General features: G+C 34.1%; 1 annotated feature.

The window, feature by feature from the left end:
• Window positions 17,291–17,891: an enhancer, noted in NCBI's record as "NANOG-H3K27ac-H3K4me1 hESC enhancer chr6:67340492-67341092 (GRCh37/hg19 assembly coordinates)". NCBI's record gives its function as "activates a minimal SCP1, AML or CMV promoter by ChIP-STARR-seq in naive H9 embryonic stem cells {active_cell/tissue: H9 hESC(naive)}" and the evidence as "EXISTENCE:reporter gene assay evidence [ECO:0000049][PMID:30033119]".

Here is a 19,546-nt window from a genome sequence, read left to right on the forward strand (position 1 = left end):
TTGTAGAGACGGGGTTTCACCATATTGGCCAGGATGGTCTTGATCTCTTGAGCTCCTGATCTGCCCACCTCAGCCTCCCAAAGTGCTGGGATTACAGGTGTGCAATGTGGTTTTCTAGGACCACATAAGTAACCGAATCTTAGGATCTCTCTTGTGTCCTGATGGCTCAGGAAGTAGAATAGGCAAATATGGTAATAGTGTAGGAACGTTTTCTGATTATGTATTAATTCCAAGTAGGACAAAGTCCAAATCAGGATTACAGAAATCTTCCTAATCTATTTCCTTCACTTGGGTTAACCCTGCCATGATAATCACATTGTTGGAAGTGTCCACAACTATCACATTTATAATCTGAGGGGTTATTGTTGATGTTGGATGGTGCCCAAAGACTCTCAGGAAGATTTTGGAAAGAAAAGTAGTTAATGTTGGTGAGGTAATTGAGTAGATGTAAATTTGGGTAAAAGCTACTTCTGTGGTAAAATCTCCTGAGGATAACTCAAGCATTATTTCGTTTTTAGGGGAGAAGAAAATATGGGTTTGGTAGATTTATAAGAATTCCCTTCCAGTAGGTATATGAGAGACTTTAGGACAAATAAAAGGCAGTGTCTTTCAGTAACGGGCCCCAGTTGAAAGGGAATAAATAGTGATTTAGGAACTATCATAGGTTGGTTGGCTACACAGACAATACAGATAAATTCAGAACTCCAGGGAAAAGATATAAAACATTGAATTCCCCTAGTTGGTTAGTTTTAAGTAAGAAAAATGTCCCCTGAATGTGTCCAAAGCATCCCTAGTTTTGCTTAGGGGAAGAGAGCCAGGGGACTCTAGCAGGATGCAGTTATAGCCAAATATTGTGAGAAATTAGAGGAATTTAGGATCTCAGTCAGTCTACAGATAGATAACAAGAACCTGAAAACAATGCACAAGACTACAACCTAACAACAGGTGTACTTTAGTTTCCTCTAGAAACATAACTTTTTCTCTCCACATTGATTATATAGGAATCTCAGAATTTAGAAAAAATGTTGAGTCTAGATAGCTAACCCAAGGCAGGCTTTATTTTTTACCTACAATCTTAAGTTTCTTGGGCCTGCCAGAAAGTGACAATTTCTACTTATTCAATGTAATGCTAGGAACTCTTTCAGCCAGGAATTTTATTCGTATTCTTACATATGACATTTCAGTCAAAACATTGACAATATAACCAATGTATCCAATTTTATCCTGCTTATAAAGAAAGAACAGATTTTTATTGAAATTATTTAAATAGAATAAGAATACTCAAGAATAATTTCTAAATTTTGGAGGAATCAAGTAAGAAGATAAAGCAAATGATTCCATAAAATAATTTAAAATAATAACTGTGAATGACAAACCCAGAAAATCTGATGAAAAATTATAATTATGAAGGAAATTTAGCCACCTCTACTACCTGCAGTATTTTAATGTAACAAAAGTCAGCTGACACATAAGAACCATTAGACTTTTATAAATTTCACATAATGTTTAGAATACTCACATTCATATATCCAAAATTATCACTAATAACCTGAATTCTTATGAAACTGGAACTTTGAAACATATTTTCATATTATACCTACAAATGTAATTGAGAAAGGATCTAGTATCACTTATCAATTAACAATGTTTTCTACACAATTTACCAAATAAGTTTAATTATTTAATATCTCCACAAGATGAAAGATATATTCTTTGATGTTCTCCAGGGGCCTAACTGGAAAATCCCAAAGTTAGTTTTAGGTTAGAAAGACTGTTTGAGATTCTTTTCTTGAGAAAGCCTGCCAAAAAGTGTGAAAACATTCAAAGCACTTGATTAAGAGAATCGCCGGTCACTGTAAAACGATTATTCATTTAACCAAAGTGATAATCAAGAGACTTCAAAAGGAATACAGAAAGTTATGTTTATGTAAGTGCCATGACCCTTTTGAAGCTCAGTTCTCCTAAGTAAGCAAAAACCTAATAAAGGCAACAGGAAGCACAAAAAATTATCTTGGTGAAACAGAATATTTGTTTTCTTGGTCAGTTACTATAAAGGAAAAACAAACAAACAAAACAAAACAAAAAACAAATAAACCTTCTGCTGCGTGATCAGTTCTCTTTACAGAAAGCCCATGTAGATGGCCTTAAAGTTAAAACTCATGAAAAAGATACTTGAATTTTATCAGATACAGAAAGAATATCCTTATAGGATTATGATTAAAGAGGAATGTAAACAAGAAAATAACACCTTTAGCTGATGAGAATACATAGTTTTTATCAATAGCATAATAAATTTCTTGGTACAGGGAATAATTTAGACACATCAAGAAATGTCAGCAGTACAGAATCAAGTTTTACTGGAGGAAACATTGCCTTTCTCGACCTTCAAGATGAACATGTTAGCATTAAGCAATAAAAGCAGAGTTAGAATTGAAGAAAAAGTCACAGCAGCTAATGAAAAGGTTAAATGAGAGGGTTATCACACCAGCCAAGGAAAAATATACATAGGTCTTTTCAAGAATAGAAGGAAGGAGAGCTGCACTTTCAACCTGAAATTAGGAATATTAGATAGAAATCCGGAATAAATATGGCAGAAATAGAAACTGTTTTTACTGTACAGGATGATTGTGAAGACATTAGATTTCAGAATTAAAAATCAAACCTAATTTTACTAAGAGAAAATTAACATTTTAAGAAAAGCTTGATCCAACAGAGGAGACAATTTTTTTTAGTTCTGCATCAGTGCATTTCTCACATCAAAGCTCAATTCATAGACCCGTAAACAGTTTCTTTCCAATTATAGCTAACCTAATCACATAGAAAATTCCTTTTATAAACTTTATTTACATAAACCTTATCATAACTTTCTTAGACCATGTACAACATACTTGAGTTTTTTACTTTTGTATTATAGAAGAGAAATTTACTGTACAAGATTCTTTCTCATACAAAATTATTCTGTTTACAAATTTTCTTACCAAAAATACATCTTACACTTGCATATAGAACTGTCTTTCAATCTCTAGTGATTTTAAGCCCACACAGTAATTACAATGTTAACTATTAGCAACCCTAATTTAATGGAAACCTAGAAAATAAGCAATTTGTAGCAACCAACCCTGTACTAGCAATCTATAAATTCCTATTTTACAATATCCAGAGACCTAGGCTTTCTGTCACACCAAATATTTAGCATGGAACAGGACTTTTTTTTTTAATAACAGATGCAAATAACATTTGTTTCTATGAAATAAGATGCCCAAGGTATATGAGCCTAACTCATATTCAGCAATGAGTGTCTTAGCATTGTATCTTATCTCAAAATGATCTAGTCATTTGATGAATATCCATCCTTTAATTTAGCTTAGCAAAATTCTAAGAGTATAGTTACTAAAAAATGAAAAACCTCCCCAAGTAAACATGTTACAAAACAATCAATATCAAAAATTAATTTATATGCTTTCATCTCATTTATATCCTTTTAATCCATTCATTCTTAATAATTATGCCTGAGAAATTTCATGAGGCATCATCTAAAACTAGCCATCATCTCAAATTAAATTTTCTATTAACCATTTATTTTCATTTTACTGACGTTAGGCAAGAAACTTACATACATGCATGTTTTGTTGATAACCCAGAAGACACAGCCATTCCCATAAAACCAAAATTATACTATTCCCATCATCAAAAATTTAATGATTCGTGTGAACGTGAAAAGCATTTGGGATTATTTGCTTAATTCATGAGTCGTTTCCTTATAAGCCAATTTATTACCATAGACAGTATATGTATGTATATATGCAAATAAGATAGACATACAAACAGACAAAAATGAAAAGCTTATAGCTTTAATTTAAAAGCTTTGACAGTGAGTCAGGTAAAACTCATTAGTTTAGAAGAATAGTTGGATTCAAATTACATCTCTGTAAATGGAACAGGCTGAAATTTATTCCACATGGCTTAATCCCTTACCAAATTTTACAGAAAACAGAGCAGCAAATTTACATCTCAAAGCACAGAAAGAACTGAAGCTTCTTTAAGAAGCTGTTTGCTGGGTTAAAAGAGGATTAAAATGGATACCAAGGTAAAATACAGTTACAGAAATTTATCACAGGATTTTACATGGAAACATACAAAGGATCCTAAAGAAAATTTAGAAACCTTTTCAAGATAACCACCTGAAAGAGTGAAGGAGGAATGGAGGAGTGATGAATAAAAGCAGAGGTAGTGAAAAGGGTGCAAGAAGACAGGCAGGGCAGCAGGCGAGGAGATCTTAGTGGAAGTAGGGTCTTTTAAAGGTGATTTAACAGTTTAATTTTAGTCTCACAAGCACTAACTTAACTTCTCTTTTCCATTTTATTAAGCCATTCACCGAATTTGGAATTGTTTTCTCTAAGGCGGACAATGTTAGCTTCTTGATTCTATTTAGAATTTTTAAAGCATCAATGGAAAAATGGCTTCCAATTGTCTCTGAGGTGTTCACTATTTCTTTGTTTGAATTGTGCAGGCAGATATGTAAGTTTTGGACTATCAAAGGAGCCCCATCTTGGCCAAAAAATGTGCAAGATTATCCTGGGTACATTTTGTTCACAGTCCCAGCCAATTGCCACTCCCTGAATCATAATTTTTACTCATAAAGCCACTTGAATGCCGGAATGTGGCTAATTATGAGGAAAAATATCTTAAAACATGGATTATCCATTGCACTGACCTGGCAAAAGTGTCCATTTCAGTGACATAGGTGTGATCATCCCAACAAAACCTTTTTCTGTGTATTACTATGCATTTACAGATTTTTGTGAATTTGATATGTTACATTAAATTGAGGCCATTTTCTTTTTGTTTCTCAAACTGTCTATGAAGAATGTTTAAAAGTTGACAATGAAACAACAAGAAATTTGATTAAATTGTGGACAAAATACTTGAATAGATATTTCCCCAAATAATGTGTACAAATAACCCTGAAATCATGAAAAAATGTTCCATATCATTAGTTAGTGAAAAATACAACTTAAAACCACAATGAACTATCAGTTGATACCCACCAGGAAGGCTATTGAAAAAATTTATTAAAAAAGAAAATAATGAATATTAATTAGGAGGTGAAGAAATAAAAATGCTTACAGATTGCTGGTAAAAATCTAAAATGATTCATCTGCTGTGAAAAACAGTTTAGAAGTTCCTCAAGAAAGTTAAGTATAGAATTCCAATTACTCTCCTAAATATACATTCAAACTAAGTGAAAACAGGTATTTAAACAATCACATACACATATGTTCATAAGCAGCATTAACCTCAAGAGCCAATAAGTAGAAATAACCCAAATGTCCATAAACAAATAAGTACATTTTGGAGACATTTTGGATAAATTTCAAATATAATGGAATATTAATCAACAAAAAGAGTGAAGTATTGGCACTTCTAAAATGTTGACAAACTTTGAAACACTATGCTAAGTGAAAGAAAGAAGCGAAACACAAAAAGACACACATTTTATGAGTTCATTTATATGAAATATTCAGAATAAATAAATCCAAAGCTAAAGAAAATGTGCTACATATGCACAATGAACTATTATTCAGCCATAAAAAACAAAATCCTGTCATTTTCAACAGCATAGATAAAAGTGAAGTAAGTCAGGCATACAAAGACAAATATCTCATCTTTTCATGAATAAAAACAAAACAAAACAAAACAGAAGAAAAACCTCACGGTGATAGAAAATAGAATGATGGTTACCAGAGGCTAGTAAGGGCAGTGGCTAGGAGGAGATAAAAAGGGGATGGTTGATGGGTACAAAAATGCAGTCAGATTGTAGGAAAAAAATTTAGTGTTCAGTAGTATAATAAGGCAACTATAGTTTACAATCATTTATTGTATATTTTGAAATAACTTACTGGAATTAGAATGTTCCTAACACAAAAAAATGATGAATGCATGTGGTGATGAGTACAATTACCCTGATTTGATTACTACACATTGTATGCTTTTATGAAAATATCACATGGACCCCATAAATATGTATAAATATTATGAATCAATATTTAAAAGTATATAATAAATAAAAAATAAAAACACATCTTATTTTAAAAATTAGCACTCATAAAAACAATGTAAAATGTAAAATATTCATAATTATGTTAATTGCATGTTGAATATTTTGGATATATTAGATTAAGTCAAATATATTATCCAAAATTTTAAATGAATAAACTAACTGTATTAATTCATTCTTATATTGCTACAAAGGTATGACCCGAGACTGGTAATTTATAAAAAAAGAGGTTTAAGCAACTCAGATTCCGCATGGCTAGGGAGGCCTCAGGAAACTTACCATCACGGCGGAATGCAAAGAGAAAGCAAGGTACATCTTAGGCAGCAGCGAGAGAGAGAGTGCAAGGGAAACTGTCACTTTTAAACATCAGATTTCGTGAGAACTTCCTCACTATCCCAAGAACAGCATGGGAGAAGCCTCCCCCATGATCCAATCATCTCCCACCAGGACCCTTTCTGTACACATGGGGATTACAGTTTGAGATGAGATTTGGATGGGGGCACAGAGCCAAATCATATCATTAAATCAATCAATCAGTGAATCCATAGATGCTTAATGCAAATTGTTTTTTACCACTGAGGAAAGAGGTGAATGGGGAGAAACTAATAGGAAAGAGATTTTTCTTTGTTTTTTTTTAATCTTTTATTTATTTTTATTTAATTATTTTCAATAATTGTAAATAATAATTATTATTTTTTGTGCCCATTAACATTCACTGTTTATCTCCCTCTCACCAGTAGCCTTCCCAGCCTCTGATAACCATTACTCTTCTCTCCATCTCCATGAGTTCAATATTTTTTTGAGCCTTTACATATTAGTGAGAACATGTGTTATATGTCTTTCTGTGCATGTTTTATTTCACTTAACCATAATGTCCTCTGGTTTAATTTATGTTGTCACCAATAATAAAATTTTATTTTTTCATGGCTTAATAATATTATTTTGTATATTATGCATATATATATCACATTATCTTTTACTTTTTTAAAATTTTACTTTAAGTTCTGGATTAAATGTGCAGAATGTGCAGGTTTGTTGCATAGGTATACATGTGCCATGGTGGTTTGCTGTACCTATCAACCCATCATCTAGGTTTTAGCATCCACGTGCATTAGGCATTTGTCCTAATGCTCTCCCTCCCCTTGGCCCTCACCTCCTGACAGGCTTTAGTGTGTATTGTTCCCCTCCCTGTGTCCATGTGTTCTCATTGTTCAACCCCCACTTATGAGTGAGAACATGAAGTGTTTGTTTTTCTGTTCTTGTGTTAGTTTACTGAAAATGATGGCTTCTAGCTTCATCCATGTGCTTGCAAAGGACATGACCTTATTCTTTTTTATGGCTTCATAGTATTCCATTATGTATATGTGCCACATTTTCTTTATCCAGTCTATCATTGATGGGCATTTTGGTTGGTTCCAAGTCTTTGCTATTGTAAATAGTGCTGTAATAAACATATATGTGCATGTGTCTTTACAGTAGAATGATTTATATTCCTTTGGATATATACCCAATAATGGGATTGCTAGGTCAAATGGTATTTCTGGTTCTAGATCCTTGAGGAATTGCCACATGGTCTTCCACAATGATTGAACTAATTTAATCCCTACCAACAGTGTAAGTGTTCCTATTTCTCCACAGCCTCGCTAGTATCTATTGTTTCCTGACTTTTTAATAATCGCCATTCTGACTGGCATGAGATAGTATCTCATTGTGGTTTTAATTTGCATTTTTCTAATGATCAGTGATGATGAGCTTTTTTTCATATGTTTTTTGGCCACATCAGTGTCTTCCTTTGAGACGTGTCTGTTCATATCCTTTGCCGACATTTTGATGGAGTTGTTTTATTCTTATAAATTTGTTTAAGTTCCCTTTATATTCTGGATATTAGACCTTTGTCAGATGGGTAGACTGCAAAATTTTTCTCCCATTCTATAGATTGTCTGTTTACTCTGATGCTAGTTTCTTTTGCTGTGAAGAAGCTCTTTAGTTTAGATTCCATCCTTTGATAAATTTCAACATCCCCTCATGTTAAAACCTCTCAGTAAACTAGGTAATGATGGAACATACCTCAAAATAATAAGAGCTATTTATGACAAACCCATAGCTAATATCATACTGAATGGCCAAAAGCTGGAACTATTCCCTTTGAAAACCGGCACAAGACAAGGATGCCTACTCTCACCACTCCTATTCAACATAGTATCAGAAGTCCTGGCCAGGATGTTCAGGCAAGAGAAAGAAATAAAGCGTATTCAAATAGGAAGAATGGAAATTAAATTGTCTGTTTGCAGATGACATGATTGTCTATTTAGAAAACCTCATCGTCTTAGCACAAAAACTCCTAAGCTGATAAGCAGCTTCAGCAAAGTCTCAGGATACAAAATCAATGTGCAAAAATCACAGGCATTCCTATTCATCAACATTAGACAAGTAGAGAGCCAAATTATAAATGAACTCCCATTCACAACTGCTACAAAGAGAATAAAATACCTAGAAATACAACTTACAAGGGACGTGAAGGACTTCTTCAAGAACTACAAATCATTGCTTTGTAGAGAGGACACAAACAAATGGAAAAACATTCCATGCTCATGGATAGGAAGAAACAAAGTTATGAAAATGCTATACTGCCCAAAGTAATTTATAGATTCAATGCTATTCCCATAAAGCTACCATTGACTTTCTTCACAAAATTAGGGAAAAAAAAAACTACTTTAAATTTCATGTGGAACCAAGAAAGAGCCTGTATAGCCAAGACAATCCTAATCAAAAAAACAAAATTGGAGGCATGCTACCTGACTTCAAACTATGCTACAAGGCTGTAGTAACCCAAACAGCACGGTACTGGCACCAAAACAGATATACAGTCCAATGGAACTGAACAGAGACCTCAGAAATAACACCACACATCTACAATCATCTGATTTTTGACAAACCTGACAAAAACATCCAATGGGGAAAGGATTCCCTGTTTAATAAATAGTGCTGGGAAACTGGCTAGCCACATGCAGAAAGCTGAAACTGGACCCCTTCCTTACACGTTATACAAAAATTAAATCAGGATGGATTAAAGACTTAACTTATAAAACTCAAAACCATAAGAACACTAGAAGAAAACCTAGGCAATACCATTCAGTACATAGGCATGGCCAAACACTTCATGACTAAAACACCAAAAGCAATATATACTACATTTTCTTTATCCATATCTATTGATGGACACAGGTTGATTCCATATATTGGCTAGTGTGAATAGTGTTGCAATAAACATAGGAGTTCAGATAGCTCTTTTATGTATCTATTTCCTTTTTAATTACATTTTATGTTATTTTATATTTTTTGGTTTTTGGATAAATACACAGGAGTGGGAGTGCTGGATCATATGGTAGTTCTATGTTTAGTTTTTTGAGGCACCTCCGTACTGTTTTCCATAGTGACTTCTCTAATTTTTATTCCCATTAACACTGTGCAAGTGTTCTCCCTCCACACCCTTAGAAGCATTCATAATTGCTTGTCTTTTGGATAAAAGCCACTTTAACTAGGTAAGATGATATGGTCATTTTGAATTGCACTTTTCAGATGATTAGTGATTTAAACACTTTTTCATATGCCTTTTGGTTATTTATAAGAATTCTTTTGAGAAATGTCTACTCAGATCTTTTGCTCATTTTTAATTGAATTGCTATTATTATTTCTATTGAGTAATTTTAGCTCCTTATATATTCTAGTTATTAATCTTTTGTCAGATGGGTTGTTTGCAATATTTTTCTAATTCTGTAGGTTGTCTCTTCACTTTATTGTCTCCTTTGCTGTTTAGAAGCTTTTTAGCTTGATGTGATCCAATTTGTGTACTTCAGCTTTGGTTGCCTGTGCCTTTGCGGTCTTACTCAGGAAATCTTTGCTCAGACCAATGTCCTGGAGTGTTTGTCAGTGTTTCCTTCTAGTAGTTTCAGAATTTCAGTTCTTAGAATTTAAGTCTTTAATGTATTTTGTTTTAATGTTTGTATATTGTGAGAGATAAGGGTCTAGTTTCACTCTTCTGCATGTAGATATCCAGTTTTCTCAGCACCATTTATTAAAGAGATTGTCCTATCAAATAGTTTTACTTTGAAGTGATGGAAATGTTTTGGCAATTAGTAGAGGTGGTGGTACCATAATATTGTGGATATAATAAGTGGCACTGCATTTTTACTTCAAAATAGTTAATTTTGTATTATGTTTTATAGCAATAAATTATATTTTTTAAAAAAGAATTGTCTGAAAATTTTAAAGATCCTCTCTCTTTGTGAAAACATGTAAGCATAGTGGTTTTTTGTTGTTGTTGGGAGTGTTTCTGAATTTTCTCTATATGTTTTTATTTCCCTTTTTTTCTTATTGAGGTTTGCATATATTTATCAGCTTTGAATGTTACTGTTGCAAGTTTTTTTATTATTGTTTATATAAGACATCTTTTTAAATTTCTTTATGTTAATCCTACCTATATCACTACATTTAAAATAAATTTCTAGAAGACATAATATTTTAGGGAAATGTCTTCTGGTTTTTTTTTTTTTTTTTTATCTGTTCTGACAACCTTGATTGTTGTTTGTATCTGTTCTGACAATCTTTATCTTTTCATTAGTTTATGTCACATGCATTTAGTATATTTATTAATATATTTGTTTTTAGGTTTATCTTTTATTATTTCTGTGTTTTTAAACTCTATTTTTGGTTTCTCTGTTTACTCTTTTCTGTTTCTTTTGGCTACTTGACATATTTTAATATTTCATTTTAATTTATCCATTTATTGATTAAATATCTTCATATAATTTTATTGCTCACTTTAGACATTACAATATACAGAACCTCCTCAATTAATGTTCTCAACAGGTTCTTGGAAACTGCAATTTTAAGCAAAACAACATATAACAAAACCAGGTTCACTATAGGCTAATTGATATAAGCCAGAGATAAGTTCCTATAGCATATTTCTGGTTACAAAAACATCACCAAACTTCTAAATAAGCATTTTGATGTTAAATATTGAAATAATTTGAGCTATATTTACATTTAAGAAAGATTAATAAAAGCAAGTAAAATTGCTTACTCAATTTTTGGTGAATCATTGAATGACAGAAGTTGTAGTGATGGTGGGTTAAATCAAAGAATAAATGTCTGTAAATTGAAAATTGTAAAAAACACTTTCTACTACCATCCAGTTCAGAAACAAACAATATAATCAATATGATGGGCTTTCTGGGAGTTTTACCATATCACATATTGTTGTGCATGCATATGATTATCATATACTTTACAGATTTTTATTATACACTAATTTGTAGTCATTCACTCATTCATTCATTTGCCAACCCATCTATTCCAGTTCGGGGTCATGAGTGACTCGAGCCTGTCCCAACAGCTCAGGGCATAAGTCAGGAATCAACTCTGGACATGACACCATTCTATCACAGGGTACTTTCTCTGCACACAAACACACGCACACACACATACACATGTGCACACACACACACTGACTGGGGTAATTTAGACACATAGATTAACCTAATGTTCACATCTTTGGGATGTAGGAGGAAACCAGAGTACTCAAAGGAAATCCTCACAGACATGGGAGAAAGTGCAAACTTTACCTAGGCAGTGGCTCCATCTGGGAGTAGATTTTGTTTTCCTCATCAACATTATAAGGAAATCAAGTTGAATGAAAAGATGTTATTTAAAGGCCTGCTGTAAACAACTTCACACAGTCTACTTAGAGTATTTTACCAGTTAAAGTAGAATTTAGAAACCATATCGCCGTATAGATCCCTTTACTCTCTCACTTTTATGTTATAGTTGTCTCATATATGATGGTTACACACATTTTTAAAAAAACCTACATCAGACAATGTTAAAAGTTTTTATTATGACTGCCAAATATATTTTTCCAAACACTGAGTTAGATTAAATTTTTCAACTGTTACTGAAACACTTTTCCTCTCCTCAGAATCCATTAGTAAGAATGTTAATTTTTGTCGTTATAGTTCCAGATATTTTGTTATATTCTTTGCTTTTTTATTTTTTAAAAATCTGTTGTTCAGATTAGATAATTTCTGTTGTTCTGCCTTCAGAATTCCCTGTCATATCTAAAGTGCTATTGAACTCATCCTGTGTGATTTTTAAAACCATGTTATTTTGTTTGCTTTAAAATATATTCTATTTCTTTTCTATGCCTGTTCTTTCATTTCTTTTAAGAGTATTCACAACTGCTTATTTAAACATTTCTATAAGAGCAGCTTTATAATCTTTTCCAGGTAATTCCAATATCTGTTTTATTTGGGAATTTTTATTTATTGATTGCCTTGGCCCATCTAAGTTGCAATTTCTCTGGTTCTTCATATGCTGAATAATTTTGGATTATATGCTGGACATTTTGGATATTTTGTTATGAGACATCTGAGCATGTTTAAATCTCATGGAAAATGTTAATATTTTTTTCTTTTAGGGTGGAATTGACCTGGTTAGTTCAGACTACAAATTTCAACCAAATTTTTACAGTGGTTTCAATGTCAGTTCCGTTTTCAAAGACTTTGTTGTCCTGTTTACATATTTCTTTTGTGTGCGCTACGCAGTGATTCCAAAATCTAATGGTAGCCTCTGTTAGTTAAGTTTTCAGGCTTTAGGCATGATCGTTAGGATCAGATTTGAGAATACATAGCTTGGGGAAGATCCCTAACTATTTATAAATAAATTTATGGGGTTATGCTCTGAACACCATGCTGCATGTGGTTTCCAGTTAGCTTGGCTCCCCTTTTTGTTACACTACCTTGAATGGTGGGACTTTAATTATTCTATCCTGCTGCATATTTCCTTAATGTCTCCCTGCATTTAGTACTAAGCTTTGAATACAGAGAGAGAAAAACACAAATTCAAAGGATCTGCCCTATCCTCATGTTATCAGCACCATCTGTCAGAGAAAGAGGTTTTCTTTCTCAAGGTTTGGCTCCTGGAAACTCTTATTGCATTGAAGTCTTTGACAACATTGCCATAATATTGTTTGGTGGCTGGGGTGTGAGAGATCAGAGAGAAGAAAAACACAGGGTAGATACATTTTTGTGTTTTTCCCCTATTCTACTAGTGAGCCAGAACTAGCAGACTTCTCCTGGGACTTTTGTTATTCCTGTTTATGCTTACTTCAAAATTTCAGATTGTTTTGCATTTTGGCTAGGAAATATAACTGTTGGTTCGCTAGCATTTAGAATTCTGGTTTTCTTCTTGAAACTGCCTGATATTTCTTACTTTTCAGAGTCCTCAAATAGCTGATCTATGCATTCTGTCCAGGTTTTTTAGTTAGCTTCAATGGAAAAGACATGGTGGGGTGTGCTTATTTTATCTTACTCTTACATGAACAAGCACAAATAATTTAGGTCTCCAGTTTTTTTCCTATTAATAGTGATTGTTATGTTCTAACTGTTACATTGTGCCGAAGTCCATGATAGATGCATTTTATTGGCCATATATTCCTCTAATTAGTAACCAGTGCACAAAGGTATTTCTAGGTTTCTAAGAATCTGTGAGATTCTTAATCATCCCATGGCTATCATTAAACCATCTGTCAGGTTACTTATATACTGATGTGTTTTCCCAGTTTTCTGTTAAATTAGGGGTGAATAGATGTTTTTTTTCCTGTAAATTATTCGATGGCTCACAAACATTGTCATATTTCTATGTCTATCAAGTGTGTTTGAGTTTCCTAATTCATAATTGAATACCACATTATCAAGGCAGAGTGTATCATATCGTAATTTCTTTTGTAGGACTGGTTACACTATCTATTATTTTTCCAGTCAGTTTTGGTAATTTTTTTATTTTCTAGAGAATTGTCAGTTTCATGCAAGTTTTCAAGTTCAATTACATGCATTAAGAAAAATATCTGATTAGCTTTTAAAGCTGAATTCACAATGATTGGAGTCACCTATTCTTATATTGTACAAATTAAGCACCAGATAATGTTCTACATATTTCACAATTAATAACACATTTAATTCTCATGTGTCAGAATACCAACCTTTAAGTAGATACTGTTAATATAATTGTCTTGATTTTAGGGTTGAAGAGCCAGGCAGGCTAAAATTTCTAGTCTTTTGTCTTAATGTTTTTACTTAGCTTCAATCATTACAGGGTTTTTTTTTTTTCTTCAGAAGCTTATTATTCTTCATATAAGATTATGATTTTCATGTTAGTTTTCTCCACTTGCTTCCCATGATATTTACCCTCATCTCTGCTCAGTTTTGTGAAATATTCGACTTGATCTCATTTCTCAGGACTAGCAACCTATAAAATGTTGTAAATTATTATCTTTTTAATTTGAACATTGAGTTTTAGTGTTAGAATGTATTTCTTTTATCTTTCAGTAACAATGCCTTGAAGGTTTTCCTTATTTTAAATTAATATTTTTATCAGCCTCAAGCACTACTTCCGTGGTCCGTCAGCATGCTGCTTGATTTTTCATATGATTAATTTGTTTTAAGTATGTTATGACTTAATTCTTTTTGTTTTCATAGTTCTGGATCAGTGAATTGATTTCCTAAGACAAGGGTAAATAAGCAAATAGGACAGGTATCTGTTTTGGGAGTACAACATTTCACAGGCTGGGAAATGGTTGCCTCTGAGCTGACATGCATTAGAAAAAGCTGCTTGTTAACGACCCTCTCTGGATGTAAGAGGTTACCTACTTCCCTTCTCACGGACTGAGTGATTCAGTTTATCATTTCCCTTGACTTTCAATCACAGCAAGATTGGGTGTTGTTTCCCCAACACATAAAAGTGAACAGTACAGACGGATCTCCTTCATTTGTTATGAAACACATAGATGTCTTTACAGGATTAAATGAGAGGTAAACATTTTGGTTGTTGGCCTTGTAGTTCTTTCATTGGGACATAGAGAATGAGGGCCATCCCTTAGCATTTACCAGAATGAAAGAGGCCCTAGGCATATTATTGAAGCTAAACAAGCATGCTTATATTTGTGGTTTGTTCTTTCAGAGAGGGAGACACCTTTTGGTAGAGAATCAGGGATATGTGTTCAGGCTGCATCTTCCTAGAATCTACTATATTCACACTACTTTTTCAAAGCATGTTTTTGGTCTTTTTGCTACACACTTCATATAATAAAGTACTGGAAGTAGCTTATTAGACTATCCATCACATTGTTTACATTTTGAAATGGAAAATACGTTCAATTTTATTAAAAAATGCTTATGCTGTGAAAATTTCATCCACTAAGAAACTATTCATTAGTTTTCTCTTCAGCATAAAATGTAAAGCTAAATTAAAAACACTTTAAAGCAAAATTAGGTTTTATAACATTATATAGCAAATTTAAATGTTGCTAAATGATAACTGAGGATGATAGCAGTTTTCAAGATAGTAAGTATATCATTCAGAGTTCAATCATAGAAACAGAATCACCAGGAATGATAGACAGTATAAAATTTATACAAAATATTTGAACTTATACCATGTCACTAACATCTACAATTACGTGTGTATTTTATTGCTTCCGCTTTTGATGCTGGGCCTGAAGAGCAGGGAGTGTGGCAGGAAGGAAAGATGAATGTGAAGCAGTGGACAGTAGGGATAAATTGGAACCCATGAATACCAACTGTAATCTGCACTAGTCTCTGAAACTCTCCAGCTTTGAAGAGGAAGTTGACATGCTGGAGAAAGTGGTGTGGGTAGTTGCAGAAAATTGAAAGAAAAGATTGTGTAAGAGCTGAAGAAGCTGTGTATTTGGCTGCATTATCAGACCAACAAGATGAGCCAGCAAACCTCACAATATGCATGAGTTGCAACATCACCTGGTTTTGTACTGCCCTTTTGAACTTAAAAAAAAAAAACAAAAAAAAAAACAAAAAAAAACCTGGATGCTTGTTCTTTTTTTGTCTTCCAAATTCTGCATAAAATGTCTCCTATGGTCCATGACAATCCATAAATATGAAATAAAACACATCAGTGTCATCCTAGATCAATTGACCCAGTACAGATCCACAATAATGAGCCAGAGAACATATACTGGTCTGTGGAATTTCAGAGAGGAGTTAATGTGAAAGCCTATATTTGCTCTGAAAAGAACCAAAAAACATGCAATCCTGAGGAATAACTATACTAATGTATAGTATTATATACTAATTATATTATATTCTTTAAACAAATAAAAAACAAAGAATTTAAATAAAATATAATTTTATTCTTTAAAGAATATAACATATTCTTTAAAGATATATGTATTAAAATATAATAAAGAATATTCTTTAAAACTATATTCTTTAAAAATATGCTATTACATCAACACATTATATTTCAGGAAAAAATGCATACAACTGAGTAGATTTCTAAACAGTATTAGAATTGGAGCACTCTAGATCCACTTTGAGTTTTTTTTCCACTGGATAATTCCTTCCATTCTTACATGATAATTTCTGTACATCACCTATAAACCATAAAATTGTTAAAATTTTGTTTGTAGAAGTAATCATGAACTTTCTAGAGGCATCACAAAATGCTTATTTGTACAAAGAAAAGTGACCTAGGTCTGTAATAGAAAATAGTTATACAAAGTTTGATAAAAATGACATACCTAATGTGGTGTGGGAGCACTTTGTGAAACCCAAATGTAAAAAATCAAATCCAAAGTTTATCTTGCATTTTTCACACCCATTTAATGCCCATTAAGGATCATGAAAGATAAAGTTAAATTGATTCAGCACTAAAATTCTATGATGCTTTTCAAACTAATGTAATGATAATGTAGTGTTCAGATTTTGAGTCATTAACACTGAGAGTGAAAGTAAAAGTTACATATTTTCTTCCTTGAAATATTAAAATGCTAGATCATTTCACTAAACACTATTGTATTTGAGTAATAGAGAAATCAATCCAAACTAGAATTTTATTGGCTTAGTAACATTTTCATTTGCAAAGTACCATTTCATTAAAGATGTAAGGTTTTAACCTACATAATACACTATTCTAAATAGTTCCAAGTATAAACAAAACTTGTGTTTATTTCTTTGTTTCTTTGTTTTTAGCAGTAAGAAAGATTTAGTCAATCATCGTTTTTCTATAAATTTCTGTGTATTTTTTAGGGTCTCTCATTCTTCTGGCTTTAATCACTAAATCATGGGTCAGAAAACTAGAACTTTAGGGCAAAAGCCATCCCACATTTTTAAAGGTTGTAAAAACCACAGACAATAAAATAGGCAAACCATCAAAAAAAGAATATGCAACAAAGACCATATGTGACTGAAAAAGCTTAAAATATTTATTATTTGGCCACTCACGGAAAGTTTACCACTCCCAGGACTAGATAGTAAGTTCTAGAGCACATTGTGATTTATGTGCTCTTTACCTTAATATACTTAGCTTAAGACATGTTTTATACATAATGAATATTTATTAAATATTGGTTGAATTAAGAAAAGATTACAGAGGTTGAGCCAAGATGGCCAAACAGGAACAGCTCCAGTCTACAGCTCCCAGCATGAGCGCTGCGGAAGACGGGTGATTTCTGCATTTCCATCTGAGGTACCAGGTTCATCTCACTAGGGAGTGTGAGACAGTGGGCGCAGGACAGTGGGTGCACTGCACCATGCATGAGCCAAAGCAGGGCGAGGCATTGCCTCACTCCAGAAGTGCAAGGGGTCAGGGATTTCCCTTTCCTAGTCAAAGAAAGGGGTGACAGATGGGACCTGGAAAATCGGGTCACTCCCACCCCAATACTGTGCTTTTCTGACGGGCTTAAAAACGGCACACCAGGAGATTATACCCCCCAACTGGCTCGGAGGGTCCTACGCCCACAGAGTCTCGCTGATTGCTAGCACAGCAATCTGAGATCAAACTGCAAGGCAGCAGTGAGGCTGGGGGAGGGGCGCCCACCATTGCCCAGGCTTGCTTAGGTAAACAAAGCAGCCAGGAAGCTCGAAATGGGTGGAGCCCACCACAGCTCAAGGAGGCCTGCCTGCCTCTGTAGGCTCCACCTCTGGGGGCAGGGCACAGACAAACAAAAATACAGCAGTAACCTCTGCAGACTTAAATGTCCCTGTCTGACAGCTTTGAAGAGAGCAGTGGATCTCCCAGCACGCAGCTGGAGATCTGAGAACGGGCAGACTGCCTCCTCAAGTGGGTCCCTGACCCCTGACCCCCGAGCAGCCTAACTGGGAGGCACCCCCCAGTAGGGGCAGACTGACAACTCACATGGCCGGGTACTCCTCTGAGACAAAACTTCCAGAGGAACAATCAGACAGTAGCATTCGCGGTTAATGAAAATCTGCTGTTCTACAGCCACCGCTGCTGTTACCCAGGCAAACAGTGTCTGGAGTGGACCTCTAGCAAACTCCAACAGGCCTGCAGCTGAGGGTCCTCTCTGTTAGAAGGAAAACTAACAAACAGAAACGACATCCACACCAAAAACCCATCTGTACATCACCATCATCAAAGACCAAAAGTTGATAAAACCACAAAGATGGGGAAAAAACAGAGCAGAAAAACTGGAAACTCTACAAAGCAGAGTGCCTCTCCTCTTCCAAAGGAACGCAGTTCCTCACCAGCAATGGAACAAAGCTGGACGGAGAATGACTTTGACGAGTTGAGAGAAGAAGGCTTCAGACAATCAAACTACTACAAGCTACAGGAGGAAATTCAAACCAAAGGCAAAGAAGTTAAAAACTTTGAAAAAAATTTAGGCAAATGTATAATTAGAATAACCAATACAGAGAAGTGCTTAAAGGAGCTGATGGAGCTGAAAACCAAGGCTCGAGAACTACGTGAAGAATGAAGAAGCCTCAGGAGCCGATGTGATCAACTGGAAGAAAGGGTATCAGTGATGGAAGATGAAATGAATGAAATGAAGCGATAAGGAAAGTTTAGAGAAAAAAGATAAAAAGAAACGAACAAAGCCTCCAAGAAATATGGGACTATGTGAAAAGACCAAATCTACGTCTGATTGGTGTACCTGAAAATGATGGGGAGAATGGAACCAAGTTGGAAAACACTCTGCAGTATATTATCCAGGAGAACTTCCCCAATCTAGCAAGGTAAGCAAACATTCAGATTCAGGAAATACAGAGAATGCCACAAAGATACTCCTCGAGAAGAGTAACTCCAAGACACATAATTGTCAGATTCACCAAAGTTGAAATGAAGGAAAAAATGTTAAGGGCTGCCAGAGAGAAAGGTCGGGTTACCCACAAAGGGAAGCCCATCAGACTAACAGTGGATCTCTCAGCAGAAACTCTACAAGCCAGAAGAGAGTGGGGGCCAATATTCAACATTCTTAAAGAAAAGAATTTTCAACCCAGAATTTCATATCCAGCCAAACTAAGCTTCATAAGTGAAGGAGAAATAAAATACTTTACAGACAAGCAAATGCTGAGAGATTTTTGTCACCACCAGGCCTGCCCTAAAAGAGCTCCTGAAGGAAGCACTAAACATGGAAAGGAACAACCAGTACCAGCC

The sequence above is a fragment of the Homo sapiens genome, chromosome 6 (genome assembly GCF_000001405.40).
Source record: "Homo sapiens chromosome 6, GRCh38.p14 Primary Assembly".
NCBI lineage: Eukaryota > Metazoa > Chordata > Mammalia > Primates > Hominidae > Homo > Homo sapiens.